Source organism: Homo sapiens, chromosome 15 (genome assembly GCF_000001405.40).
Source record: "Homo sapiens chromosome 15, GRCh38.p14 Primary Assembly".
Classification (NCBI taxonomy): Eukaryota; Metazoa; Chordata; class Mammalia; order Primates; family Hominidae; genus Homo; species Homo sapiens.
Window position 1 is genome coordinate 69577815 of NC_000015.10, and position 26011 is coordinate 69603825.

The 26011-nt window shown below is 48.3% G+C and overlaps 1 long non-coding RNA gene across 2 annotated transcripts in view; it reads left to right on the plus strand.

Annotated features, from left to right (window-relative positions):
* Window positions 1-14385: 14385 nt before the first annotated feature.
* Window positions 14386-26011, plus strand: part of PCAT29 (prostate cancer associated transcript 29) — a 103551-nt gene continuing 91925 nt past the window's right edge. For both annotated transcript variants that reach the window (NR_126437.1, NR_126438.1), the window contains exon 1: window positions 14386-14499. This is a non-coding gene — a long non-coding RNA (prostate cancer associated transcript 29). The remainder of the gene's footprint in view (window positions 14500-26011) is intronic.

Genomic DNA, 26011 nt, shown 5'->3' on the forward strand with positions numbered 1-26011 from the left:
TTCCAGCAAACCCACTACCTGTACTACCCATTCACTTAGTCATTCACTGAGGCTCACCATTGGCCATAAGATCACCAGGGCCTAGACACACAGAGGGGTGTGAGCACAGAACACAGTCCTTGCAGGGCTCTGGGTTTTGTAGGTGTGAGATGTGCCCGAGGCCTGCCAATTCACGGTGGCAAGTGCCCTGATGATGGCTGCACTGGCTCGTATGGGAACATTGCGGGAGGTGCATGGGGCCGCTTCTCAGAGGAGGCGATGTTTGAGCTGAATTGGAGGAAAAACAGTAAGGGTTCCCTAGATGGGGGTGGAGGGCTGGGAGAGAACTTTCTGGAAAGGGCACATCAGTCTGAGGGAAACACCTACATGCAGGCTGGCAGGTGAGAGGACAGAGTCCTTTCTGGGATCAGGACTGTTTGGGGCCACTGGAATAAGTGCAGGAGACTGGAGACAAGGCTGGGGAGAAGGCGGGACTTTGGTCATGGAGGTACTTGGAGTCTTTATCCTGTAGGTGGTGTGAAGACCAGAAAGGAGGCTGTTGCACTAGTTCAGGAAGAGAAGAGGAGGTGGGCGACAGAAGTAGAGGCAGCGCTCTGAGGGACCTTGGGCAGGTGGAAGCCACAAAACTGGATGGCCATGAGGGCAAGGTGAGGAGGAGGGGGAGGCGAGGAGGAGAGGGAGGCGAGGAGGAGGCGGAGGAGAGGAGGAGGGGGAGGCAAGGCCGACTCCAGGTCTCCTACTCAGGTGGCTCATGGCTCGGGGCCACTCGCTGCTCACCAATCCTGTGAGCAGAGGAGGAGCAGATATGGTGTAGGGTGCATATGTGAATCCAATTTTGGTGATGCTGAGGTTTGGATGCCCGAGGCCGCTCAGGAAAGGACATCCAACAAGCATTTGGTGTCAAGTTTGGCAAAGAGATCTCTTCTGGAGAATTGACTTGGGCACCATCGGCATTAGGCAGCATTTGGACCTCTGTGATGTAGATGACGTGATTAAACGGCAGTGTGTAAAGACAGGAAGAAGGCCTATGCAAGACCTCGGTACTGGCATAGGAGGGGCTAGGAGGGCAGGGTATGACGGAGGCTGAGAGGAGCACTGTGGAGAAGGAGCAGGTAACATGCTTGAGTGCTGCACAGACTGAGTCAGACAGGACTTGGTCTGACCACTGGCAGGAAGCCCGTTGGTGCCCTTGGCTTGAGTTCAATGGCAGAATGGCAGAAGAGGGTGTAGGCTGTGAAACTGACGCAGGAGAGGCAGGCTGCCGCAGCCACTCCTGACGGCACAGCTTTGAGCTCCGTGCTGGGTGTTCAGTGCTCGGGATAACACATGTGCAGTAAACATTTCTAGAATGACCCACTTTGGGGGTTGAAGAGACTTTTTTGTTTTTAAAATAGGTGGGACTTGAGCATCTCACCTCTCCCACCCCCCAGCCCCTGAAGTGAGTCAGAATCAGAAAGGTAATGGATAGGAAGTTTCCAGTTCTTATCCAGATCTGGAAATTCTGATCTAACCCGGGAAAAATGTTGAGGTCTGTTTAGAAAGACATGAGTGCTCCCTGGGGGCAAGAGAGCCTTTTCTCTGGGGCCTTTCCAGTAGCCCCAGCCTCACCGGTCACCTCCAGGTGGTGAGCTGGGCATTTAGGGAAGCCGTGCCTTTTGGCGCTAAGCTGCTGTTTTTGCAAGACTGGGCGGCTGGAGATCCTTTCTCAAGTCAGCAGCCATCCCAGGGAAGAAGGACCAGAGTAGGAGTGCTGGGCTAGGATCCTGGTCCAAGCTCTGCCATTATCGTATGTGAAACAGTCATCTCTCTGGGCTTCAGTTTTTCCATCTGCAAAGCAAGAATTCCAACACTACATTCACAGGAGTATCTGAAGGATAAGATGAGATAATAGATGCAGAGGTGATGTGAAAAGTAGGAAGTGCTTTACATGTGCCAGTTTTCTTCATTCATTCACTCTCATTCACGCATGTACTAATTTAGCAAAAAATGATGAAGCATCCATTAGATGCTATAATTGCAAATTGCTAAGTGTTCAGGGCAGAGCAAGTGGACAGACTTTGTAACAAAAGCCTGCTTTTGACTATTTTATCCCTGCCCCCACTGTCTGCAGAAGAAAGAGAAGGGTAGAGCTGATGGGTCAGTGGGCATCTGTGCCCTAGGCTGGGGGTCATCACTAGCCCTCATTTTGCCCTGCAATCAGTAGACTCTGTGCGTGGGATTCTGTGATGGGAGGAATTTTCTACCCTCTTTGTTCTGGTAGGGAAGAGTTTACAATGAGTAGGGTCAAGGGTTGTTTTCTGCTTTGTAGTGTTGATTCCAGAGGCTGCCTCATCTGTTGTCTGGCAGCAACGGCACACTGGCCATTGACATGGGCAAAGGTCACTGTACTGAGATGTGAGTGCAACAGAATCATGGGGCAGCTTTAGCAGACCATCATCAGAGACAGCTCAGTGGATGCAGCTGCCTTCTGAGGATAAAAGATTTGGATTCAACTCGGGTGGGTGAACTTGGACAAGGTGCTTAACCTTACCAAGACTCAACTTCCCTATCTGTAATAGGGGACTCTTAATACCTACCCTTTATGCTTGGTGAAGATAAAGTGAGAGTCATGAGAGAATGTCCTCCTCTCCTTCTTCCATTGACGTCAATTCATGATCACTGACCTCATCGGGCAGTTATCTGACTCAGGTGTATCAGATCTAGCGGGTACAGTGACCTCTGTGCCACTCATACGCCCCTCAGTTATTAGGTACCAGGCTTCTGGTGATGTGAAGAGTGTCTGTTGTAGCCACTGTTTCTGAATTGTTAATAAAATAAGACAGCTCTGGTCTGGAGGAGAGTTGGGGAGAAGCCCAGGAGTCTGCTTAAACCCCATGTCCAGGTGGGCATCCCCGACTGCTCTTCTTCCCTCCCTAAAGGTTCTGGGGATTCAGCCTGTTGCAACTTCCTCATTAACCCTTTCACCCATCATGGTGCTCATGGTGGGGTTCTGTCCCTGAGCCTGGCTGGGGAATGGAAAGAAGCCTCTCAGCATGCCACCACTCCCCTCACCGTTCCCAAAGACAAGCACTCTGGCCATTTGCATAATGGGGGCTTTATCACTAATCAGAGAAGGTAAACACACCAGGCAACAAAACAGTAAGCACATAGAAAGGCAAAGTTTTCAGAAATCTACAAATCCCTGATGCCGCAGGCCCTCACACATGGAGGCCCTACTGGACTTATTCTTTCTGTGCCAGGCTGGGTGAAGAGGACAGGAGCTAGCAGCTTTGATCCGCTCTATCATCACACTTGCAGTTTCAGGGGACTTCCAGACCAATCAACCACTCACTCCATCCCCTTTGCCTACCCCAACGCTAGCCCCTCTGTCCCAGCATTGTCTGGATCTCTACTTTGTCTTTGCCTGTCTCTGAACTGTGGGCTCCTTGAAGGGAAGAAGAAAGGTATTTTCTTCTTTCCTGTGTCCTCAGAGCTATCATATGTTTCCAAGAAGGGGATGGGGAAGTTTGGCCTCAGGTGTGAGGAGTAGTTGCCTGGGTCATTGGCTCACAGTGGGGGTGTTTCTGGGGTCCATGCAGTTACTCAGATGGTGCTCACCTTGCTGGGCTCTGTCCTACTCTCTCCTTCTTCTAAAGCATGCTTCTGGGGTGTGACAGGTACACTCAGAGGGATAGCCATCAAAGTGCATTCCTAGCTTATCCTTCCTTCCATCGAACTGCCTGCTGAGTGGTTTGCCCCAGTAAGAATTCGCCAAGTTCTTGTCTTAATTCTATTCTATTACACCTCATAAAGGTTGTAGCCCAAACGACTCTGAGTTTCAGGACCACAAAGCATCAGTATAGGAGGAAGCCTTGGAGAGTGTGTGGTCTGTCTGAAAAAAAATAAGTGGATAAAAAATGGGATGGTGCCTCCTCAAACATGAGTGTCTTTGTCAATGATCCCACTAGCCTTCTGGGCCACAGCCAACATGGAGGGCTAAGGTGGGCATGGTTCTAGTGCAAGTCCCTGAACAGGTACACGCCATCTGTCAGCAGGCATCTGCAGATGTTCAGATTTGGGCAGCCTGGCAGAAGATTTTGGGGTGCAGGCGATGGTTGGATTTTTCAGATTAAGCTTTGAGGTTTAACTACCCATAAATGACTTCAAGGTCTATTGCATGCCACCATTTGTAAATTGGCTGAAGTGGAATGTGAATTGTTGGTGTTTGAGGCTCATAAAAGGGAATGAGATTTGGCCTGGGAAGGGTCTTGTCCATTGACCAGTATCTCATCCCAATTTGCCCTCAAGTGTTCAAACTCATGAATGATAACCAAGAAAGCCAACTACTGGGGTTGTGGGTAGCAGTGTGGAGGAAGAGGCCATGGAGAATAAGAAAGTGAAGATTTTAAGCCAGAAAATAGAAACTTGAGGTAACTTAAGCTTTTCTTTTTTCTTTTTTTTTTTTTGAGATGGAGTCTCACTCTGTCATCCAGGCTGGAGTGTAGTGGGGCAGTCTCAGCTCACAGCAGCCTCCATCTCCCAGGTTCAAGCAAATTCTCCTGCCTCAGCTTCCTGAGTAGCTGAGATTACAGGTGCACAACACAACCCTGACTAATTTTTGTATTTTTAGTAGAGATGGGGTTTCACCATGTTGGCCAGGCTGGTCTTGAACTCCTGAACTCAGGTAATCCACCTGCCTTGGCCTCCCAAGGTGCTGGGATTACAGGTGTGAGCCACTGTGATTGGTCATAATTTTCAGGTATATATATATCTGAAATAAAAAATATATATATATATATTTATTTTACCATATGAGATAAGTTGTGTTTTATACTATGTCTTAGTCCATTTTCTGCTGCTATGACAGAATACCACAGACTGGGTAATTTATAAAGAAAATAAATTTATTCATTACAGTTCAGGAGACTGGGAAGGCCAAGGTTGAAGGGTTGGCATCTTGCAAGGGCCTTCTTGCTGTGTCATCTCATGGTAGAAGGCAGAAGGGCACAAAAGCCCAGGAGAGCAAAAGAGAGCTGAACTCACTTTTATAACAACCCATGCTTGTAATAATGAACCCTTTCTCATGATAATAACATTAATCCACTCATAAGGGTGAAGGCCTCCTGAATTAATCACCTCTTAATTATCCCACCTTTTAACACTGTCATGATGGCATTTAAATTTCAATGAGAGTTTTGGGAGGGACTTTCAAACCACACCATGCTGGTATTAGTAAATTTGGAGATTCACAAAATCTTTGGGATATATTCTTTGGAAATGTTATAGTAAACCTAACGCAATAGCAAAAATCTAGAAACAACTGAAATATTCCTCAGTAAAAGTGGTTATACAATAGGATCAATACATAATGTTTATATTAACAATTAAGCATGATATTACTGATATGTACTAAATATATTATGGTACTTTCATACTATAGAATGTATTACAGTTGTTAAAAAAATTTAAGTGATGGTTTAATAAATGAAAAAAGCAAGGTGCAGAGAAGAATGTGTTAGTATGAATCCAAATCCATTTATGAATTTCTTTTAAAAGCTTATGCACATTTATCTCAGGAGAGGCTCCATTTTTTTATTCTGGGAAGATACACAGGAATCTGTTGATGAGGGCTACCTGCAGAATCTGCACATCAACTCTCTGAGCCTCCGTTTTCTCACTTGTATAGTTGGCTTTGTAATCTCATATTCAGGATGTTTGTTAAACTCCAAAGGGACACCTCCTGGGCATAGCCAGCCATAGAGCCTAATAGAAACAGCAGCTATTGGTGTGTGCTCGAGGCAACGTGATGGGGGGACGTTCCATGACCTCTGCAGTCAGGCAGATTAGGGATTGCTACCCTCTACTTGTATGGATCAGAGGGGAGCTGTCTCTTGCTTCTGAGCTTCAGTTTTTTGTACAAATTCTTAAATGTAAAGATCCTAACGTAGCCCCTGGAATAGACCATGTGTTAGTTCTGCTTCTGCACAGCTGTGGAAGTCACACTCTGTAGGACTTCCTGACAACTGACTGTGGGCAAAAGGGTGCTTCCTATGAACCCTCCTGGGGCTCTGCTGAGCCTGGAGGCCCCCCTCCTGACTGGCAACGGAGAGAGGCCTGCTCTGGGAAGTGTTCCCACCCATCAGGCTCCTCACACTTCACTGGCTAGTGGATAGCCTTCCGGAAGCAGGCCTAAACACCCAAAATCAATTTGCTAAAAGCCAACTTGCCAAACGATCAATTCACTGAATGACTAATTTGCCATAGGACTAAGGATTTGTTTTCTAAATTTCAGTTTCCCTGTGGCTTTGCACAGAAGTTCTGGTTACAGAATTTTGCATGAGCGTCAAAGTTTAGATGCTGAGCCCAACTCCAGCACTCAATATTTTATATAGAAAGGATAGACTTGCCCCATCTCTCAGCCTCTGCCCCTGAATCTGCCTCTTCTCTGCTTTTTAAGTAAGTCTTTCTTTCAGATGCAGTTTCTATCTTCTCAAAAGTTGTTTTTTTCCAACCTGGCCCTATGTTTTCTTATGAACAGACATCAGCGATGATAGTAGATTTTTTATGGAGTAGGGGCCCAGAACTTAGCCCTAAGGAGGTTCAATACCATGCACTGGGGTAATTAGTGGAATAAAAGAAAGGGACATTTCTTGCAAATGTGAGTTTGTGATCTACGACTTATATCTACTTATTGTTATTATTTATCATTTTAATTTAAGTTGTAATAGACATTGAAATAGCATTTCAAGGTGAAGAGATCTATTTATTTGTTTATTAGATTTTAGATTCTGAAGCTTAGTTTAGAAGCATCTTATAGCCAGCACATAAGTGGATAAAATGTGTAGTCACTCCAAACCAGTAGTTTAAGATCTTGAGTTATTTTAACCCTTGATTTCCCTACATTTCTTATTTATTTCTATCTCCATGTCTATCTACCTAACCTTATGCCTATACCTATCTATGAACAGGCAATTCAGAAAAGCAGACTGATCCCAAATGTTTTCATATGCTTTGGAATGTGTGGTACTTTTTTAATTTCTAGATTTTCCCTCTTAGTAGTCTTCACTTACATCTGCACCCATTTCATATACTTGTACCTAGTAAACGTTAATTAGTTTTCTTATTAACTTTTTCATCAGACCACCATGGTCTCTTGAACAGAAAACTGTGCGGTTGACCTCTGGGCAAGTTAACTAATTTCACTGAGACTCAATGTCTTCATCTGCAAAGTGGGTGCAAAGTGGCCCATTCCTCGGGGGTCTCAGTTTTCTCATCTGTTGCATGGGATAATAATCTTGTCCCTGGACTGCTACTCTACCAGGAAGGTTGTGAAGGGGTTTATGATAAGATAGAGGTTGGAATGTTATGGGTTGAATGTTTATGTCCCCTCAAAATTCATATGTTGAAGCCCTAAACCCCAGTGTGACTGTAATTGGAGATGGGGCCTTTAAGGGAATAATTAACATTGAATAAAGCCATAAGGGTCGGGCCCTGAACTGATGGAACTGGTGCCTTTGTAAGTAGCAATCTCTCCCTCTATCCGTGTGTGCTTGTGGCAAGGAGAGGCCGTGTGAGAACATAGTGAGGAGGCAGCCGTATACAGGCCAGGAAAAGGCACCTCCCCAGAAACGGAATCCACTGGAACCTTGATTTTGGACTTCCAGCTTTCAGAATTGGGAAAAAACAAATTTCTGTTGTTTCAGCTGCCCAGTATTCTGCAGTATTTTGTTATGGTAGCCCCAGCAGACTAAAACAGAATGCCTGATTCCTGAAATCACGCCATCATTCTAGGGGTGTCTGTCTTGGAGCCTGGACTGGGAGTCCTGGGCCTGAAAGCCTGAGAGATGGCAGTGTGGGAGAGGCCACTTTCTAGGCAATGGGGAGAGAAGGAACCATCTCTTGGGAACATCAGCTTCTTTTGGGACGCTCCGCTCTGGGCTGCCTGTCCCTAGCCTCCATGGGCCAGGCTGACTGTGGACCCATCTCTCAGAGTAGCAAGGATCCTAAGCTCTGAATACTCAACGTCATCACTAGATTCCTGTTTAAAAAGTCTATTGAGCGGAAATATATGGAGTTGTGCTTTCTTAAGAAAAATCCAACATTTCTTCTAATGTTTGGTGAGGGAGCTGCTGAATGTGTCCTAGCACCTTGTGAACCCTGTGTCCTTGCCCCTCCATGTTCTGGAAGTCCTGGCTTTGCAAAGCCAAACAGGGGTCTTTGATAGCCAATCACTCTTAGCTCAGATTCGCATGAAAGAACCTGGTTTTGCCCAATGCCACACCTCCAGCCTCTCCTCCACAATCCTCTGGAATGTAGAGCTCCAGCTCTGCCAAGACCCTCCCACACCAGAGCAGGCAGCATCCTCTGACCTGGCTCTATCAGCCCTCCCTCCCCTTCCCCCTGGTTCCCTCTTCCCTAGAGCACAGGAACGCAGCGCCAAGGCTGGGGTTGTGGCACATCTTTCTCTCTCCTATTCCACAGTCTACCTTCCCTTCCTTCTCTCTTTCCAGCCCCCATATGAGAGCTAGTGAGCCAATGTATGGAAAAGCAATGCGGGTGGAGAAGTGAGAGAGGCTGGTGGGTCTGGGATAGTCAGGGAGGCCTTCCTGGAGGAGGAGACCCCAGGCTAGGCTTTAAAGGATGGATAGGTTTGGAAGCACAGAGAGGGAAGGACAAACTCTAGAACTCAGAGTTTAAGGATGGGTGTGGGGACCCTGGCTTAAGACTGTGGCATAGGGTGGAGGCCAGGGGTGTGCATGTGGAGCTGGGAGGGGACTGGCTAAGAGAAGTCTGGAAAGCCAAAGCCCAGATATTTTCTTTGATGCAGAACCCGGTGGTCCCTGGCTGCAACCGCTGTAGCTAAATAAAGCAGTCACTGTGATTTTGAAACCACAGTGGGCTTGTTCCACTGTGATGGCAACTAATTACGGATTGTAATTTGTCTAAACACAGGGAGGTGTTTTGACCTGAATAGTAATAATGTGACAGGCTTCCTTTGGTGTCTTCCTGCTGCTGGTCCACTAGCCAGGGGCACGTCTGCATGCCCGCCCTGCTGTGGATGCCCGGCCAGGACAAGGGGAAGCAGGGGCGATGTCCACCCTGGCACAGGGAATGGTCTTCTCTGGATCTTCAAGAGGCAGGCCCTGGCGGTGGTCAGAGCCACAGAGGGACTTGGGGTCCAATCCTTGTCTGTAAACTTGGGACCAACTGTACCGGGTTGTCATGGAGATGAAACAATGTGGAGGGGAAGGCACCTGCGCGTGGTAGGTGCTGGATGCATGGGAGCTGTGACAACTGTCATTAGCACAGCTAAGGTGACTTCATTTTACAGTGAGGAAACTGAGCCCCAAGGGGACCCTTGGCTGAAGTTCCGTAGTCACAGGCTTTGGGGCTTTCTGAGGACTCCCCTCAGCGTCCTCTCATCCATGCAGCTTCCAAACAGTATGAGTTTCCTCTCTCCATCTTGTCTGTAAGCCCTAAGAGAATGAGGCTGTGGCATAAAGTGCCGTGCCCTCTCCCTGCCCCAGCATAGCCTAGCAGAGGTCCTAATAAATATTTCACAGTCACTCAGAATCATCATGTGGACAAGTCACTTTATCTCCCTGAGCCTCGGCTTCCTCATTTGTGAAATGGGAATAATGACTGCCTATCTGATGGAGCAGTTGTGAAAATGAACATGCAGAATGTGCTTGGTAAGTGGTGGTTCCCCCCATTCCCCCACCACCATTGCAGTCCAACAATGCGGCTTCATCAAGAATCAAATCCAAGGAGAGGCCTTCAGGGATGTGTGCAACCATTTCCTCTGTGCCTGCAGGGAGAATGCTGGCCCAGCAGTGGAATATCCCAGGTGGATTCAAGGCCATGTCTGACCCTGATGATGTCCAGATATGAACTCTGAACCCTCCATGGGGGCTTGGTTTCTGTGCCTGATCCAGTTCTCTCTTTACAGCTTCCAAACAGTATGAGTTTCCTCTCTCCATCTTGTCTGTAAGCCCTAAGAGAATGGGGCTGTGGCATAAAGTGCCGTGCCCTCTCCCTGCCCCATAATAGCCTAGCAGAGGTCCTAATAAATATTTCACAGGATCTGAGTGCAGAGTGCTCACTTTACAGCTGGAGAAGCTCTGAAAGGAACATGATGTTCCTGCAGAGCCCGGACTTATAGCCAGGTCTCCTGACCCACTCCACAGCTCTTTCTGCTGCCCTGTTGAGCTCACATCAGAGTTGTCCTCTGCCTAGAATTCTTCCCAACCCCTCTGCTTGTCTGGATCTCATGTAGCCTCTGGGCCTCAGCTGAGCTCTTACAGCCATGACTCCCAACCTTGACTTGGTTGAATCAATCCCCCTATGCTTCATTCTTACATCATCTGGGGCAGAGATTTCTGGTTCCTTCCTGACATCCATGATTACCTTCTTCTTTTGTAATAACTCCTGATTTAACGAGGAAGAAACATGTACAGTTAAAAGACCACATTTCACAGCCTTCCTGGCAGCTAGGACGTTGCTGAGTAAGCCTTCCAGGAAATTGAGAAGGAGTCAACTCCTTTTTTTCTCTTTGCATTTTGTTCTTTAGACCTTTCCTTCATTTTACCCAGAACACAAATGTGATGGCTGGAGCTACAGCACCTATTTTGGGCTTGTGTGCTAAGGATATGATTGCAGAAAGATAGGAAACCCTGAGGACTTTGTGGGAGCCATCGTTCCCACCCTGGGCTGCCCATTTCTAGACTTGTTTTATGGAAGAGATAAAGCCTTCATTTGTTTTCATCACTATAGTGGATTTCTGTTACTGGCAACCAAACCCAATCCCAGTTGATAGGGGACTCCTTGTAGTTCTGTCATAGTTCATGATAATTATGGTCAGAATCATTTAATGCCTCCCTCACTAAACTGTGTGCTCCGTGAGAGCAGGGACCCCATCTGCCTTGTTTACTTCTGTATCCCCAGCAACCAAAACAGTGCCTGCCACTGTTAGTGCCAGTAAATGCTTAGTAAATCTTTTGGGGTGATTATATCCCAGTGAATACTTGGTGGTCTAGCAGAAGTCCTAAGGGATCATTTGAGGAAAAAGTGGCTCTGATAGTGGCCTTCATACTAATTGTGACAGGCTGCCCCAGCTGCTAGCAACTACCTTTCCTTTCCTGGTAAGTTGGCTCCTCGATATCATCATTTAAAAATCAAATTTTTGATGGAGTGTGGTGGCTCATGCCTATAATCCCAACACTTTGGGAAGCCGAGGTGGGAGGATCACTTGAGGCCGGGAGTTTGAGACCAGCCTAGGCAACATAGTGAGACCTTGTCTCTTATTAAAAAAAAATCAGCTGGGCATGGTGGCATGTGCCTATAGTCCCAGCTACTTGGGAGGCTGAGGTGGCAGGATTGTTTGAACCCAGGAGTTGGAAGCTATCGTGAGCTGTGATTGTGCCACTGCCCTCCAATCTGGGCAACAGAGAGAGAGACCCTATCATACACAAAAAATAAAATAAAATAAAAATAAAATTTAAAAAACAGAATTTTAATTTTTTCCAATATGAAAGTCTCTTTCAGGATATTCTTTTATAACCTCACTACCTATAATAGCTGCTTAAAAATACACAAAGAACAAGTAGAACACACAGGAAAACCAACTTTTTTCTTTTCACTCTCAGTTCTATGCAGTTGCTTTTTTCACATAGGCCCACATAAAAACTTGCATCAACCCCCACTCTAATATCATACTAGAATTTTCCCACTTATTAAAAAGTTGGACTGAGTGATAATTTTTAGTGGAGAGACTGCAACTTGTTTCCCATCGAGGAGAATTACTTGGCCTGTTCCCTCTTCATTTTGTACTTTTTGTTTGAACGATGCTATCATGAACCTCTCTTTGTGCCCAAAGCTTTTTCTGTACTTAGGATTATTTTCTTAGATAGATTCTCAAAGTGGAATTATTTGATCAAGGGAGGTATACATGTTCCAGTGTCATTTTGCAAAACAGGAATCAATGCACAATTAAGGGAATCTTAAGGGAGAGACCCACTCATTTTTTCTTTTTCTTTGGGCTCAGTTTCCCTAGCTGTAAAACTGAGCAGGTCCAAACATAGAGAGCTCTAGCTTCCCTTACAGGTTCGAAGTTCTGCTGATGGTTCAGGAATGAGGCTTCTGAGATCTTTCAGGGCACAAAGTCGTAAGACGACCTGGGTTTGTCAGCCATTGCCTCTGGTTCACCCTCTTAAAAGCTGACCTTCACCATGGGGAAGTGGGTCATTGGAGCCTCCAAGCTGTCTTCCTGTGTTTTCCTCACAATAATACTCCTTCCCCAGCTGCCAGCAAGCTTATGCTCTAGTGCAACCCTAACCCTTCTAGAGAGGGTGGAAAGCTTCATATCCTAGAGTCTGAGGGATGTGAAGTTGGGGATTCACCTTTGAAAGCAGTAGCAAGAAGAGGGCAATGCTTAACCCAAAGGGACACCTTGAAACTAGAACATCAGACCCCACTGCAGGCCACTGAGGGACCTCAGCCCACATGGCACGTAAACTACTCGTGCACAGCTGGAGATACCATTTATGCTCTGTGGCGAGGCTTCTCGGCCTTCTCCTCCGTAAGATCATATTACTGCACTTATTTTCATCTCAGTGACCTGCCAGACTGTGAGCTCCTTGAGGACAGTGATTCCTCTGATGTGTCTGCATCTGAGACACAGCAGGTGCTCACTACTTATTTTAAGTGAGCAAGAGAAGGGAGATGCCCCGATGTGATGGGAAGAATTCATGGCGAGATGGGGAGGAGAGCCAGAGCTCAGACAGGAAAGAGTGGGAGGGAACAGCTGACGGTGGGAAAAGTCCTGGGATGCTCCTTTCTCTGATTCAAGACAACATAAACTGAACCAACTCCCAGTCCCTGCAGCCTGGCCCTTCTTGTGTGTGCAGCTTGTAGGCCCTGAGGTGGATGTTTAGGGAATGAGTCCTCAAAGCATATACGTTGGCAAGGGTGGCAGAGCGCTGTGGGAGAAGGAGAAGCATGTGCAGAAAGAGGAGGCCAGGGGACCTTATGGCTCCTTTGTCCATCCACAAAGCATTAGTTTATTTATTCACTCATTTTTTCATCCAATATTTTTTAGCATCTGCTATGTATTATGTTCTGTGTTAGGTGCTGGGTGTTCAAGGAGGTAAATGAGAGCTGTGGTCCCTGCAAAGGCCAAGAGCACTCTGAGGAAACATCAGTACCTGGGGAGGCAGTGTGTGGTACCCAGCGGAGTGTGTGATGGGTGATGGGCATGGGCGGAACACTCACACAGAAGTGGCAGCGTGCCACAGGGGTGGCTGCAGGGGTGGCCATGCCTGGGGAAACGCGACTGCCTGGTTTGTCAGTGGGCCCTGTAGGACAGCAGTGAGGCACCTCCCAGGCAGCTCTGCAAGTGGCACTCCAAAGGAGAGCTGGAGAATAGAGGAGGGAAAAATGGGAATTCCTTGAGTCATAATTGGGTAGAGCTTTAGAAGGGGTTGAAGGTCATAAGTGGGAAACATGAGCCTAGAAAATATTGCTTACACATGAAAAAATGGCAGGCAGGATCAAACAGCAAATTGCAACCTGACATGCATGCTAGGGTCATGTCTGTGAAAATTCTACCTTTGGGAGGTAATGTGCCAAAAGAAAAAAAAAAAGAGACAAGAGAGAAGACTGTTGATTGAATGATGGGGGTAAGCTTATGGGTGATTTGTTAGATGGTTTTAAATGTTTAATCTTATTATGTAGTAGCTATAATCTTATCATTACAGTAGTAATACTAAAATTGAGGAGTAGAACAATGATAGAGTTTGGGGGGATGAGAGATGTTTTCTTGAGATTCATTTCACATAGTAAAAGAAAACCCAATAAAAGTAAGATGGAATGAATCCCCTCTACATCTTCTTCTGTGACTGGGTCAGGCAGCTGTGAGCAGCTAAGAGAAGCCCTGATCTTACAGGTGATTCAGCTCCACTTCCACTTCTTTTTGGGACTCACTGGGGATTATTTGTTTCTCTTAATGGGCAACAATTAGCTAATACCCCACCACTACAAGCAAAGTAAAAACTGGGCCTGTGTTAACAGTTCTCTTTTTGATGGGGTCATTGGTGTAACAGATAACTTCTAGCTGCATTAGGACTGGTAGCACATCAACATTGCCTCTCTGTTGTGAAAGGAAAATAGAAACGGCTAAGTCAACCATATATAAAGGCTTATATTTGCTCTTCAAAAGTTTTTTTTTTTTTTCAACATATCTTTGCTGGGGTTGGGCCATAGCTTGATGGGTATTTGTTGAATGACTAATTATTGACTTATAGGCTAACAGCCTCCTTTGAAGTAGGCTGAGCAAACAAACCATTAAGTGGAACATGGTGTCTAGGTTACACAGCTCACTCATCTGCTAATCACTGGGGCACACTGCTGGTTATTATTACCTGAGACCCTGAAAGGAAGCACTAAAGAAATGAAGACAGAGGAATACCAGGAGAGAAAGGAGGTCCAGTTAGACCTAAAGGTGGGCAAGAAGAAGAAGAAGAGGTGAGATCCTCAGTATTGAACAAGTACAGTGCAGCACATAGGTGATGTCTTAATAGGGGTCTTGGTCAATAATTGTTTGGTTGCAAGAAATAGAAGTATTATAAATTTAACTCTCAGTAATAACAATGATTTCGTTGGAAGGCTATGAGGAATCTCACCGACTTCAAGGGCAGGGATGACAACCAGACCCGTGAGAGGCTCAGAGACTTTCCTAGCTTCTTGCCTGTGTTTCTCTGGGTGTTTTTTTTTTTTTTTTTTTCATCTCAGCTTATCTCAGTAGCTTTGTTTCATTCTTTTCTCTGCAGACTGGCTTTCTCTGTTTTGCCTTTTCTTTTTCTCCTTCTTTCTTTCCTTCCTTCTCTCTCTCTTTCTTTCTTTTTTTTTTTTTTTTTTTTTTTTTTTGACAGAGTTTTGCTCTTGTTGCCCAGGCTGGAGTGCAATGGCACAATCTTGGCTCAGCGCAACCTCTGTCTCGTGGGTTCCAAGCGATTCTCCTGCCTCAGCCTCCGGAGTAGCTGGGATTACAGGCATGCACTACCATGCCCGGCTAATTTTGTATTTTTGGTAGAGACGGAGTTTCTCCATGCTGGTAAGGCTGGTCTCGAACTCCCGACCTCAGGTGATCCACCCGTTTGGGCCTCCCAAAGTGCTGGGACTGCAGGCATGAGCCACCACACCCGGCTGTTCTGCCTTTTCTAGGTTTTAACTTGTTCACTTAAACTTGGACATGATCTCTCAGGTTATGGGCCCAATACCAAGAATCTAAGTCCAGAGACCCAGGAGACAGAATCTGATTGGTCAATGGCTAGCCAATGGGGTGCCTCCCCTCAGTCAGGAGTCCATTGCTGTTCCAACAGCTGCAGCCAGGGAGAGGTACGTGAATGTGGATAAACATGGTGGCAGGGACAGTTCCTGTGGGTGGTCAGAAAAGGAGGCACTGACTGAGCAGGCAGCACATTGGCTAACATGTCTGCTGTGGGGAAAACTGGAATGACTTGGCTGTTGGATAAAATACTCAACCACATGTAGAAAATGCCCACCATGTATTTTTAAAAATGAATAGCTTCTGAAGGTTGGAGTCCAGGCTGCCATAAGGGTCTACATAACACTTGATTTCCAAGGAGTTTCCCCCTCGTTTTCCAAGTCTTTGGAGAGAGCAGTTAGTAGAAAATGTTAATGGCCAATTTTAGCAAATGACCATTTTGGTACTCCCAGGCCACTAGGGCTGGCTAGAGCTAATTTTTAGAATGCCCCCTTGATGATCCTGGCAACTTGTTTCATATTGACCTGGAGACACGGCATGGGCCCAGATCCAAATGTACTGCTAAGCCTACATTTGCTGTACTTGTGGGCAAGGAAAAGCCACCCCAATTACTCCATGTGGATTTCTCGTCTCAGAATATTCCATGGCTTGTCTGGTCTCACTGCAGAACTGCGGGGTGTGGTTGGGCAGGTTGCACACGACTGTGCTCATGACTCCCCTTAGACTCACACGGGAGCCTTGATTCCACGCTGGTTGCACGGTTTCATTTCTGTGCCTCCAGGTTCTCCCTCTGGACTGTGAGCTCTGGGATGCAAGAGATGCGACTTCCTCTTCTATTGCTTGCCCAAGGGGCTTGTGTAGGCCTGGCCACTCGTTTCTCTCCCCGTTCCTTCTGTCCCTCCGAGAAGACACTCAGACCCTGCCACCCATCCTCACACCGGATGTGAATGGAGGTCACTGCAGTCCCTCTCCTGGGCTACGCTTTAGGGCCCACTCTCATGGTGGCAGAGTCAATGTTGGCATCTGTTAAAGGGACCTCAGCCCAGTGGGCGGGGAGAGTGCTTTCCTGCAGAGCGGGTTGTGCTCAGTTGTGAACTCACAGCCAGCGCTGGTGAGACAAGCTCCAAGGCAGAGGCTAGTTTTCTCGGTCTTCCTCATGAACACGTGGTGGCTGCATTAGCTTATCCACAGGGTCCTCCTACTCTAAGCTTCTGGTCCCAATCAGTAAGCGACTGGCCCCTACTAGACCCCCACCTACTGGGTATTTGACTGATGGATGGAGTCACCATCTGTCTGCTTGGGCACCTGGAGCCCCTGAGCTCCAGTCCCTGCAAGCCTTTCCCTGCAGAGCCCAACCGCAGGGTTTGGCTGATAGCCTGGAACTGCCTCACCATCATTTTTCACTGGCCCCACCCCAAAGGACAGCCTCCCCAAGTAACCTTTTTCAATTGCTCCAACTTCCCTGGAGTGTTGACTTAGCCAGAGAGCACGCTCCCTCTCTAACCTCGGTGTGTTTGCTCAGCGGAGGAGCGGGCATTAGGTCCGCTTGACTCCATGAGCACACAGGTTCCTCTGTCTTTACAGGAGCGTCCCACGGAGGGGGTGCGGCGGGGGGCAGGGGAGACTGAGGAGGGAGGCGCAGCTTCCTGTTCTGCTGCCGGTTATCACAGGCTGTTCTAATGCTGCTCAAACAATATTGAGAATAACCCCGGCTCAATAGCACCAGTGTTAGGCTGCAAAGTCAATATTGGCTGAGCAAACACAGCAAATAAGGAGTTGCTATTTGCGTAGCTATGAGTACTTGTGTGCTCCGGCTGCCTCGACAGGGCCCTTGGAAATGAATGGGAAGGAGGAGGGTGTCTGGAGGTGGAGTGGGTTCCTGAGAGGGGATAGGCCAGGGTTTCTCACCTTGGCATTGTTAACAATTGGGGCCGGATGGTTCTTTGTTGTGGGGGAATATCCTCTGCGTTGTAGGATGTTTAGCAGCAGCCCTGGCCTCTGCCCTCTAGATGCCAGTAGCACCCGCTCCTGATTGTCCAGAGAAACCAAAATGTCTCTTGACATTGCCACATGTCCCCTGGGAAAGGACAGAGGGCAAAACCTCCCCCTGCTGAGACACACTAGGCTAGGTGCAGGACAAGGCTGAGGAGCAGACGGGCTAGAAAAGAGAGAAGGGCTGGGAGGGGCTCACTATGCCTCTTTGACCCTCCTGCTTTCCAGCTGGGGCTCTCCCCAGTCTCTTGTGAGTGCCAAGAAAAGCCAGCCTTTTTAAGAACTAGATGCAATGTACAAGTGCCTCTTCGATAGAAGAGCCTTTTCAGCTGCTGGCTGGATGTCCGTGGCCACCTGCTTACCCTTGCCCTGTCTTGGAACTCACTCCTGTTCTCCACCCCGAGAAAGAGAGAGGTGGTGAGATGCTCAGATAATTTATGTCTGTCTCTCTCTTGTAGAATTTCTGGCATGTTTTGCCCTGGCCGGTGACCTTCTCAGTCAGACATGCCTATTTATAACAATCTGTCCCTGGCTCTACTTCCTCCCCTTTGCCACAAGGGATTGGCTCGTGCATTCTTGAATGCTGCAAGTGGCCAAGGCTGGGCCTGTGGGAGGGCATGGGGCAGGGAGGGGAGCCAGGCACGCTGGCCAGAGGGCCTCCCTGGGGACAGGCTGCACCAGCTCAGTTCTCCTTCAGGCTCTGCAGGGTCACATCCAGGTTCACCTTTGGTCCGCTACTGGGAGGGCGATAGAGAGAGCGCTTATAGCCTGGTGAAGGCCAGGGCTGCCTCAGGGGCTGTCTGTGCCATAGTCACCAGTCCTCATTGCTGGGCCATAGCTGGAGCAGAAAGACGCCCAGAGAGGCTGTGCTGAGGGGCTCCGAACACATCTTGATGCCTGGAGACTTCTCCTCCAGGCCGGGCTGCCACGGCTCCCAGGTTGGGGTGGATTAGGAATGAAAAGAATGACACTGACCATAAATGAGCATTAGACACTGCTCCTTTTTGAATGTTGATCCTTTTGGTTGTGGTGGGAGTGAAGGGAAGCCCGTACTTGGAGCAGAAGGGGAGCCCGTACTTAGGCAGCTGTGATGATGTGGGGGTCATGATTGCCATACCATTGGCCTTGGCTTCAGAAAGTGGCATCTTGGGAGGAAGGAAAACTCCTGGATCTCCAGACGTTGAGAAGGAAAGAGCAGGCAGGCAGAAGAGAACCGGGCAGCCTAGGCGTGAAGCAGCTGCAGGAAGGTGGACAGCTGTGATTTTTTTTTCCTTTTTTTCAAAGTTAGCACACACCTTATGCACCACTCTATTTGGCCTCTCTCCTTCCCTCCTTCCTTTGACAGAGGAGGAGAAGACATTTGAGAAACCTACCGCATGCGACTCCTTCCTAAAGGTACTTGCACAAGAATGTTTCACAGAGCAATGGAAGCCTTTCAAAACTTGTCAGAACCATTGCCTGATTTCTTTAGAGACTTGGCAGGGGGCAGGTTGGCATGATTAGACTCAAGCCCCAAAGATGGAAGCATTCCTGAAGCAGTCATCCTGATTGTGGGGCCACCTGGGGAAACAGGGATCCCTCCCTCCAAAGCTGATTCTGCATTTGGAGTGTCGGGGAGGGCCTCGGGGTCTGGCCCACCCCAGCTGGAGCCCCCCTGCTGTTGCCTTATCCTGGTGGCCCGCTTCCCAGCTCCCTGCAGGTGTATTTTCCTTTCTGCTTGGAAGATGGGTGATGTGGGCTGTGGTTGTGGAGAAAGAAGCCTCGGTGTTAGCAATGGGGATGGAGAGGTCCATCAGCTGGCTTCGGTCTCACCTCTCTGGCATCCTGGGATCTTGTGTCAGACTTCATTTGAAGAGTGGCTTCTGCTCTTAAAAAAAGAAAAGTTGAAGCTATAGTAGAAAACAGCGTGACTTTCAAGCCAGGGGTAACTGAGTTCCCACCCCTGTTCTTTCACTTACTGGACACATTCACAAGAGTGGATGTCACCCTTCTGAGTGTCACTTGTCCCACCCGCAACATGGGAACAGTAACATTCAGCCTCTAGGGCTGAAGCAAGGATAAAATGAGACTGCATGTGTGTGTGGTGACAGTGCCATGCTCAATGCCATAGACACTTGGGAAATGGAAGCCCTTGATTCCTTTGCCTTCCCCTCTAGATCCTGCTCAGCTTCCCAGGCCAGCCCAGGTTGAGGCGCTGCCAGGTGGTCCCTTGGGACCTTGCTTCTGAAGCCCCCCAGTGATCTCTTCTCTCTTTGAGAGAAGGAGAGTGATAGAAAGAACACCTGCAGTGGACTCAAAAGACCTGGCTTTAAATGCCGACTCAGCAACTTAGTAGCTGTAAGGCATCAGGCCAGTGACCTAACCTCTCTGAACTTTGGTTTTCTCATCTGGATAATGGGCCTGATGATACTTTCCTCCGAGGTGCCAGTAAGTCAGGAGAAGGCAGTGCTTCAGAAATGTGGGTCTAGTTATGAAGCCCCCTTTGGGGTTTGTTTAAAGTGCAGGTTGCTTATGTTCACTACTCGAAGCTTCTGATGCAGTTGGTCTGGGGTGGAGCCCAGGAATCTGCTTTATAAATAAGCCAGCAGGTGGCTGGGATGCAGGTGGCCCACCAAGAAAAAATATAGAGTGTGTGATCCCAGTGTCCTGGGTGCTCTCCAGACCGTGTCTGCAGGGGAGGCCCCCACATAGCACAAACACACCCTATCTGTCTCTCCAGCAGCTCAAGCAGGACCACCAGGAAAGTCTTCTCAATTGCCTCTGAGATTCCCCCCAAATGCCACCTCATGCTGCAGTCGCCACATGGGCCTGTCCAGTTCTCGCTATGTTAACATAGGCGAGAACATGGACAGTTAATCCATGAGGTGAGTTCAGAAATCCAGCAGTCTGAAGGTGTAAAGTGGAGGGAGATGAAGAGAGAGGGGTGGGCAGGGAGCAAGTCCTGAAATCTGAGCTGAGGATAGGTCTGGACTTTTCCTCCATGATCAGGAGCCATCAAAGGTGTGAAGCAGGAGAAAGACCACTTTGGTGGACCTATGGGGGATGCACCAGAGGAGGCAAGGCTGGAATCAGGACCCCCTTATGAGGAGGTTGTAGTGGATGGGGATAGAAGCCAGGTAGGGCTAATGAGAAGGGAGAAAGTGGATGGATTGTATCAGTTTCCTTTTTGCTGCTGCAACAAATTTTAAACTTAAAGCAACACAACTTAATTTTCTTACAATTCTGGAGGCCAGAAGTTCAAAATCAATCTACTGGGCTAAAGCCAATGTGTCAGTCTGGCTGGTTCCTTTGGGAGGCTCTAGGGTAGACGTTATTCCCAGATTGCCTTTTCCAGCTTCTAGAAGCCACCTGCATGTCTTGGCTCATGGCCCCTTTCTGTCATCCTCAATCCGCATTATTCCAGTCTCAGCTACCATCATCACATCACCGTCTATCTGACTCTGACCTTCCTGCATCCCTCTTATAAGGACTGTTGTGGATATTCAGGGCCCAGCTGGAAAATCTCATCTCAAGGTTCTTAATCACATTGGCAAATTTCTCTTTGCCATGTGAGTTAACATTCACAGGTCCTAGGGGTTAGGACGTGGATATATTTGGAAGGCCATTATTTAGCCTAGCACCTGGATGCAAAGGACTTTGGGAACTGTAGCCAACACAATTTGGTAACTGTCTAGGGAGAATGGAGGTGATAATGGGAGAGAAAACCCCTGTGGATACTGGTTTGGGCAGCAAGTGAATGGTGGCGCTACCCACTGAAAGAAAGAAGGAGGAAGAACAGAGTTGGAAAGCAGGTATAGGGGGAGGTGTGGAATAACGTGCTCAGTTTTGAACATGTTGAATTTGAGATGTCCAGTAGGTCATCAGATACGTGGAATTCAGGGGAGAGGTCTGGGTGAGAAAGAAATCTGAGTCAGCCATGTGCAGCTGGTAATCGAAACTGGGGTGTGGGCAGCAGTAACTCAGGGAGCGTACAGAAAAGAAGTTTTTGAACTTTATGGTACATCAGAATAGCCTTGGCTTACAGTTGGCAGGTTTAGCAAATGAAAGTACAGGAGACCCTGTACAAGTTGAATTTCAGATAAACAACAAATACTTTTTTAGTATGTCTCACATATGGCACACACCTCGCTTGCCCTGCTTCTCATTGTTTATCTGAAATTCAGATTTAACTGGGCATCCTGCGCTTTGCCTGGTGACTCTACCTTGGGAGCACGTTAAAAGCAAGGCACCTTTGTGGGCTGCGTTCCCAGGGATTCTGGTTCTGTTGGTCTACGGGGAGGCTTTGGAATCTGTATTTTAACACGCTTCCTGGGAGATTCTCAGGCAGTTAGACCTGTGAGACACTGAAGGAGAGTGAGGAAGGAAGAGGGCTCAGGAGCAGACCCCAGGAACCTCAGCACTGAAGGGCAAGGGAAGGAAGGAGCCAGCACACTGGCCTGAGAAGGACCAGATGGAGCAGCAAGAGGAAAACCAGCCCTGGTGGCCTCTTGCAGGTGTTTTGAGGATGAGCATCAGTGCAGCAAGAAGCTGTAAGAGGCCATAAATTAAAATGTGGAGTCAGTGGTGACTGTGGCAGATTTGTGGAGACTCCACGGCATTCTTGTTCATTGGAGTTCTTCTCCAGTCTGGGCTGTACCCGGGACACGGTGATGGTGCCTGTATCTCTCTGCCTGTCTGCCTCTCTGCCTGAGGGCTTTCCCCAGCACAGCTTGGCTGCAGGCAGGCACGACCTGAAAATTCAGAAGTGTGAATGCCCCAGGACAACCCTCACCAGTGGGGCATGCAAGCTGGTGGACCACTGGCCCAGCCTCCCAGCTCCAAGAGCTCAGTCCACTCAGTTTCTCAGAGGGAGCTCAGAGGTATTGAGCCTTCATTGCCCACAGTGGTGTCCTGCTTATTAATCACACTTGGTTAGCTTCTCTCCCTTCCCTGTCTCACTCTGTTCCTGTCCCTCCAGTTCTCATTCTCTGGAATCACTTCTCAGTTATACTACACGCACCCAGGACCTTGTCTCAGGGTCTGCTTCTGGGAGGACCAAAACCAGGACCCTGGAGATGTCTGTTCCCATGGAGTCATGGGGATGAGCTGAGGGCAGCAGGCAGAGGGGTGGGAGGGGGGCAAAGGTCTCCGGAAGGAGCTGTGAGGCAGGGAAAGGCTGTCTTCAGTGAACCCCAGCCTGTGCTGGGTGCACCTCTCCTCCTTGGCAGCCTGCATACCCCGGTGTTTATCTCATGACCCTGGTTCCCTGAGGCCCCTCTGTAGAACCTCCTTCTAGGATCTCTGGACCCTGGTGGGCCATTTCACTGGGACTCTGCCCTCTTCAGCCGTGCTAGTGAGGGCATGTATCTATCCCCCTTCTCCTCCTTTGCAGCTGATGATGTTCTTCCATTTCAAAACGTGCCTTCAATGTCTTAGAGAAGGAAGGAGATGAAGCTTTCCTGAGCACTGCTTTGTATACAACTCTGCTATCTCATTTAATCCTCACAACACCATAGAGAGTGATTTTTCTCATCTTTCCAATGAGGACACTGGGGCTCAAAGGAGTTAAGTCACCTGCTAAGGTCACCCCACGCAGTAAGTTGTGGAGCTTGGACGCTGGTCTCTTGCCTTGCCAGGCTACCTACACATGACAGGTATTTGAGGATGACACCCACACTCAACCAAGCCCTTTCCCTGCCCAGGCCTGTGTTCACAGTTTCTTTAGATGACACTTCAAGGGGCATGGCTCCTGAACTCTCACCTCTTGGGTGACATTCTTGGTTTGCCTTCCCAGTGAAATATAGCACCCAGGGCTGGTAGCTTTCCAAAAGAGCCCTGTGCCAGTTACCTCTGCTGACCTGAACATTACACCTCCATCTCTGACCCCAGGATCGCATTAGCTTTTGAAACAGCCACAGTCCTTACATGGGCTCATATGAAGCTTTGGGGTTACCTAAAACCCCTGGGTCTTTTTCACATGGCCTGTTGCCAAGCCAGGATGCTCCTGGAGCAGTTAATCATTTTGATCCCAAATGCAGGCCTTGGCATTTGTTAGGACTGTGGTTTTCATGGTTTGGGCTAACATTACAACAAAAAGAAATGCAACAGGTATTGATTTCTCTATACAGCCATTGATTGGCCATCAATGAATTCATATTTGTGTGCCTCATATTTCCAAGTAGATTTTCAGTTCCTTGAGGGCAGAGGGCATGCTTTCCCTCCTCTGCATTGCCTACAGGGTCTGGCACAAAGGTCTGCAAACAGCAGGTATTCCACAAGCATTGCTATTGCCTGAGTGAGGAAAAAGACTCTCAATCCCTCAATCCTGCCCTCCTCAGCCTCAGCTTCAGCTCTTGTCAGCACCACTCTCCCTGACTGTACTACACAGAGCACCCCCATCTGGAATGCTTCCGTGGAGTGGCTTCTTACAGTATTGGTGGCAGGCAAGATGGTGGAGTGAAGGAAAGAGCACTGGCCCTGGAGCCGAGAGACCTGGGTCTGAATCAGCTCTCGCATGTGACTGTGTGCTGTTCCCTCATTTGTAAAATAGAGACAATGAAAACAGGTTAATGTATTGAATTCATACTGTAAAATGTGCTCCATGCTTTTTGCCCATAATCTCAACCCAGTGAATTAGGGATAATAAATATTTCCATTTTTTAGATGAAAAAATCTGAAATTCAGAATAGTTAATTTGTTTGCTCAAGGTCACAAAAGTAAAAAGTGCAGAGCTGGCATTTGAACCCATGCTGTCTGCTCCACCCTTAGCCATTGGGCATAATAAATATGTCACCTCATAGATTATTGCACAGGAGAATGGCAACTTGCTGATAAAGTGCCTGTTACCATGCCTGGCACATAGTAAGTACTCAGTAAGTGCTATCTCTCTCCCCAGCTGCCTCTCCACCTTTAATTTTTCCCTCTTCTCAGGGCAGAGCTAGGACGGAAAGGTGGAAGTAGAGGAGATTCACTTTCAATACAGTCAAGGGAGCAACTTTCTGACAGTTTTGAGTCCTCAGAGAGAGACCTCTGTTCTTGGAATAGGAGAGCAGAGCCTGGCTGGTCAGCTGTTGGTGGCGGAACCCCTGTCTTGGTCTGGAGGAGGGAGGAGTCATCATGCAGGGGTCAGCTGGAGGCCCGTGGGCCTTTGAGGAAAGAATTCCTTAGTTCGCAGGGCCATCCTGACCCCTCTCTCCCTTGTCTCTCACACATGATCTATCACCACGTGGCGTTGATCCCACCCCATCTGTCCTGGCATCCTTCTATCTGCTTCTCTCCAGGCCACCAGCAGCTCTCCTGTTGAGCCTGGCATTGGCCATCTAACTGATTGTGTGACCTCTCTTGATTGTTGATCCACACAGCACTCTATAGATCTTCCCAAAATACAGTGTGCTCATGCCTCGCCCCAGCCCAGGACCCTCAGAGCCTTTCCATCTGTAGGAAAAGGTGCTAAGAGACCTCTGAAGGTCTCTTAGCCAGTCACCCAGGCCTTCTCAGGGCCCCCAAAGCCTCTGACAGGCCTTTGTACGTGCCTTTCCCTCAGCCCGGGACCCCCTCCACCCTCTCTCTCTGCTAACTTTGTCTCCCCTTCCAAGTCTGTGCATTTCCTTTTCCTGGAAGCTGTCTTTGAACACCCCTTTTCCTCCATCCTCACCCCAGACGACAGAGTGAGTCTTATGTCATCAGAGCCCCCACCTCTAGGACCTAGATTTGAGCCATGCAGTTCAAGCTTTTCTTGAGTCCTCCAGGTGCCAAGAAGACTTGACCAGACCACGAGGATGCAGAGATAAATGAACCATGTTCCTAGGCCTGGAGGAGCTCTTCAGAATAGCATGGAGTGATGTGTTGGCTAAGTGAAGCTCAGGTGCTCTGGGGAAAACCACACAAGGAACACGGATAATCCAGACTGAGGGAGTCAGGGGGGCTTCCTGGTGGAACAAGTGCTTAAATAGAGCTTTAAGGTCTCAGTGGGGGATAGGACGTCAAGAAGGGAAAGAAAAGTTTGTGCTCAACTAGAGCCCTGAGTGAGTCAGCCATGCCGGGCACTGCAGAATGACTGAGCTGAGGCTGCATGACCCTTGCTGATGGGTGCCGCACTGGCTGAGTGGGAAGGAGTCTCCTTGGAGGCCTCCCAGGTCTCTGGAAAGGCAGGAGTGGGGGATGCACAGAAGGACTAGGTTTGGAGGGACAAGAGGGTAAAGAGGCTGATCAGGAACTTGCTTGATTTAGAGTCCTTGTGGGATCCCTGAGTGGAAATTGCTTAGTGGGAAGGGCATCTGAAGTGGAGGGAACAGCACGAAAAGGCCAAGAGGCCAGACTGAATGATGGGCCATAGGTAGTGGGACAATGAGGACACCTGGCTGGAGTGTGGAGAAAGAGGAGGGAGGGACTGGTCAGCTGGAGGAGGTTCCCAAGGTGACTGTATCTGAAAGTCAGTTATGGGCCAGACGCTGTGCTAAGTGCTTTTTTGAACATCACTTTTTATCTTCCCAACAATCCTGTGGCAGCCCCATTTTGCAGATGAGAGCATTGAGGCTCAGAATGGATAAAGGACTTGCTCAAGACCACATAGCACCAGCCAAAGCCTTGCACAATAGGTGCTCAATATATATGTCTGAAGGGGCTGGCTGACTGCATGAATGAATGAGTGAATGAATCAATCAATGAATGAGTAATAGAATTCAAGCCCAAGCACCCCTGGCTTTTAGCTTGAGCTCTGTCCTGTCCTATACCTTGTTGCCTGAATTCTCTCCACCTCAAAAACAACTATAATTCTAA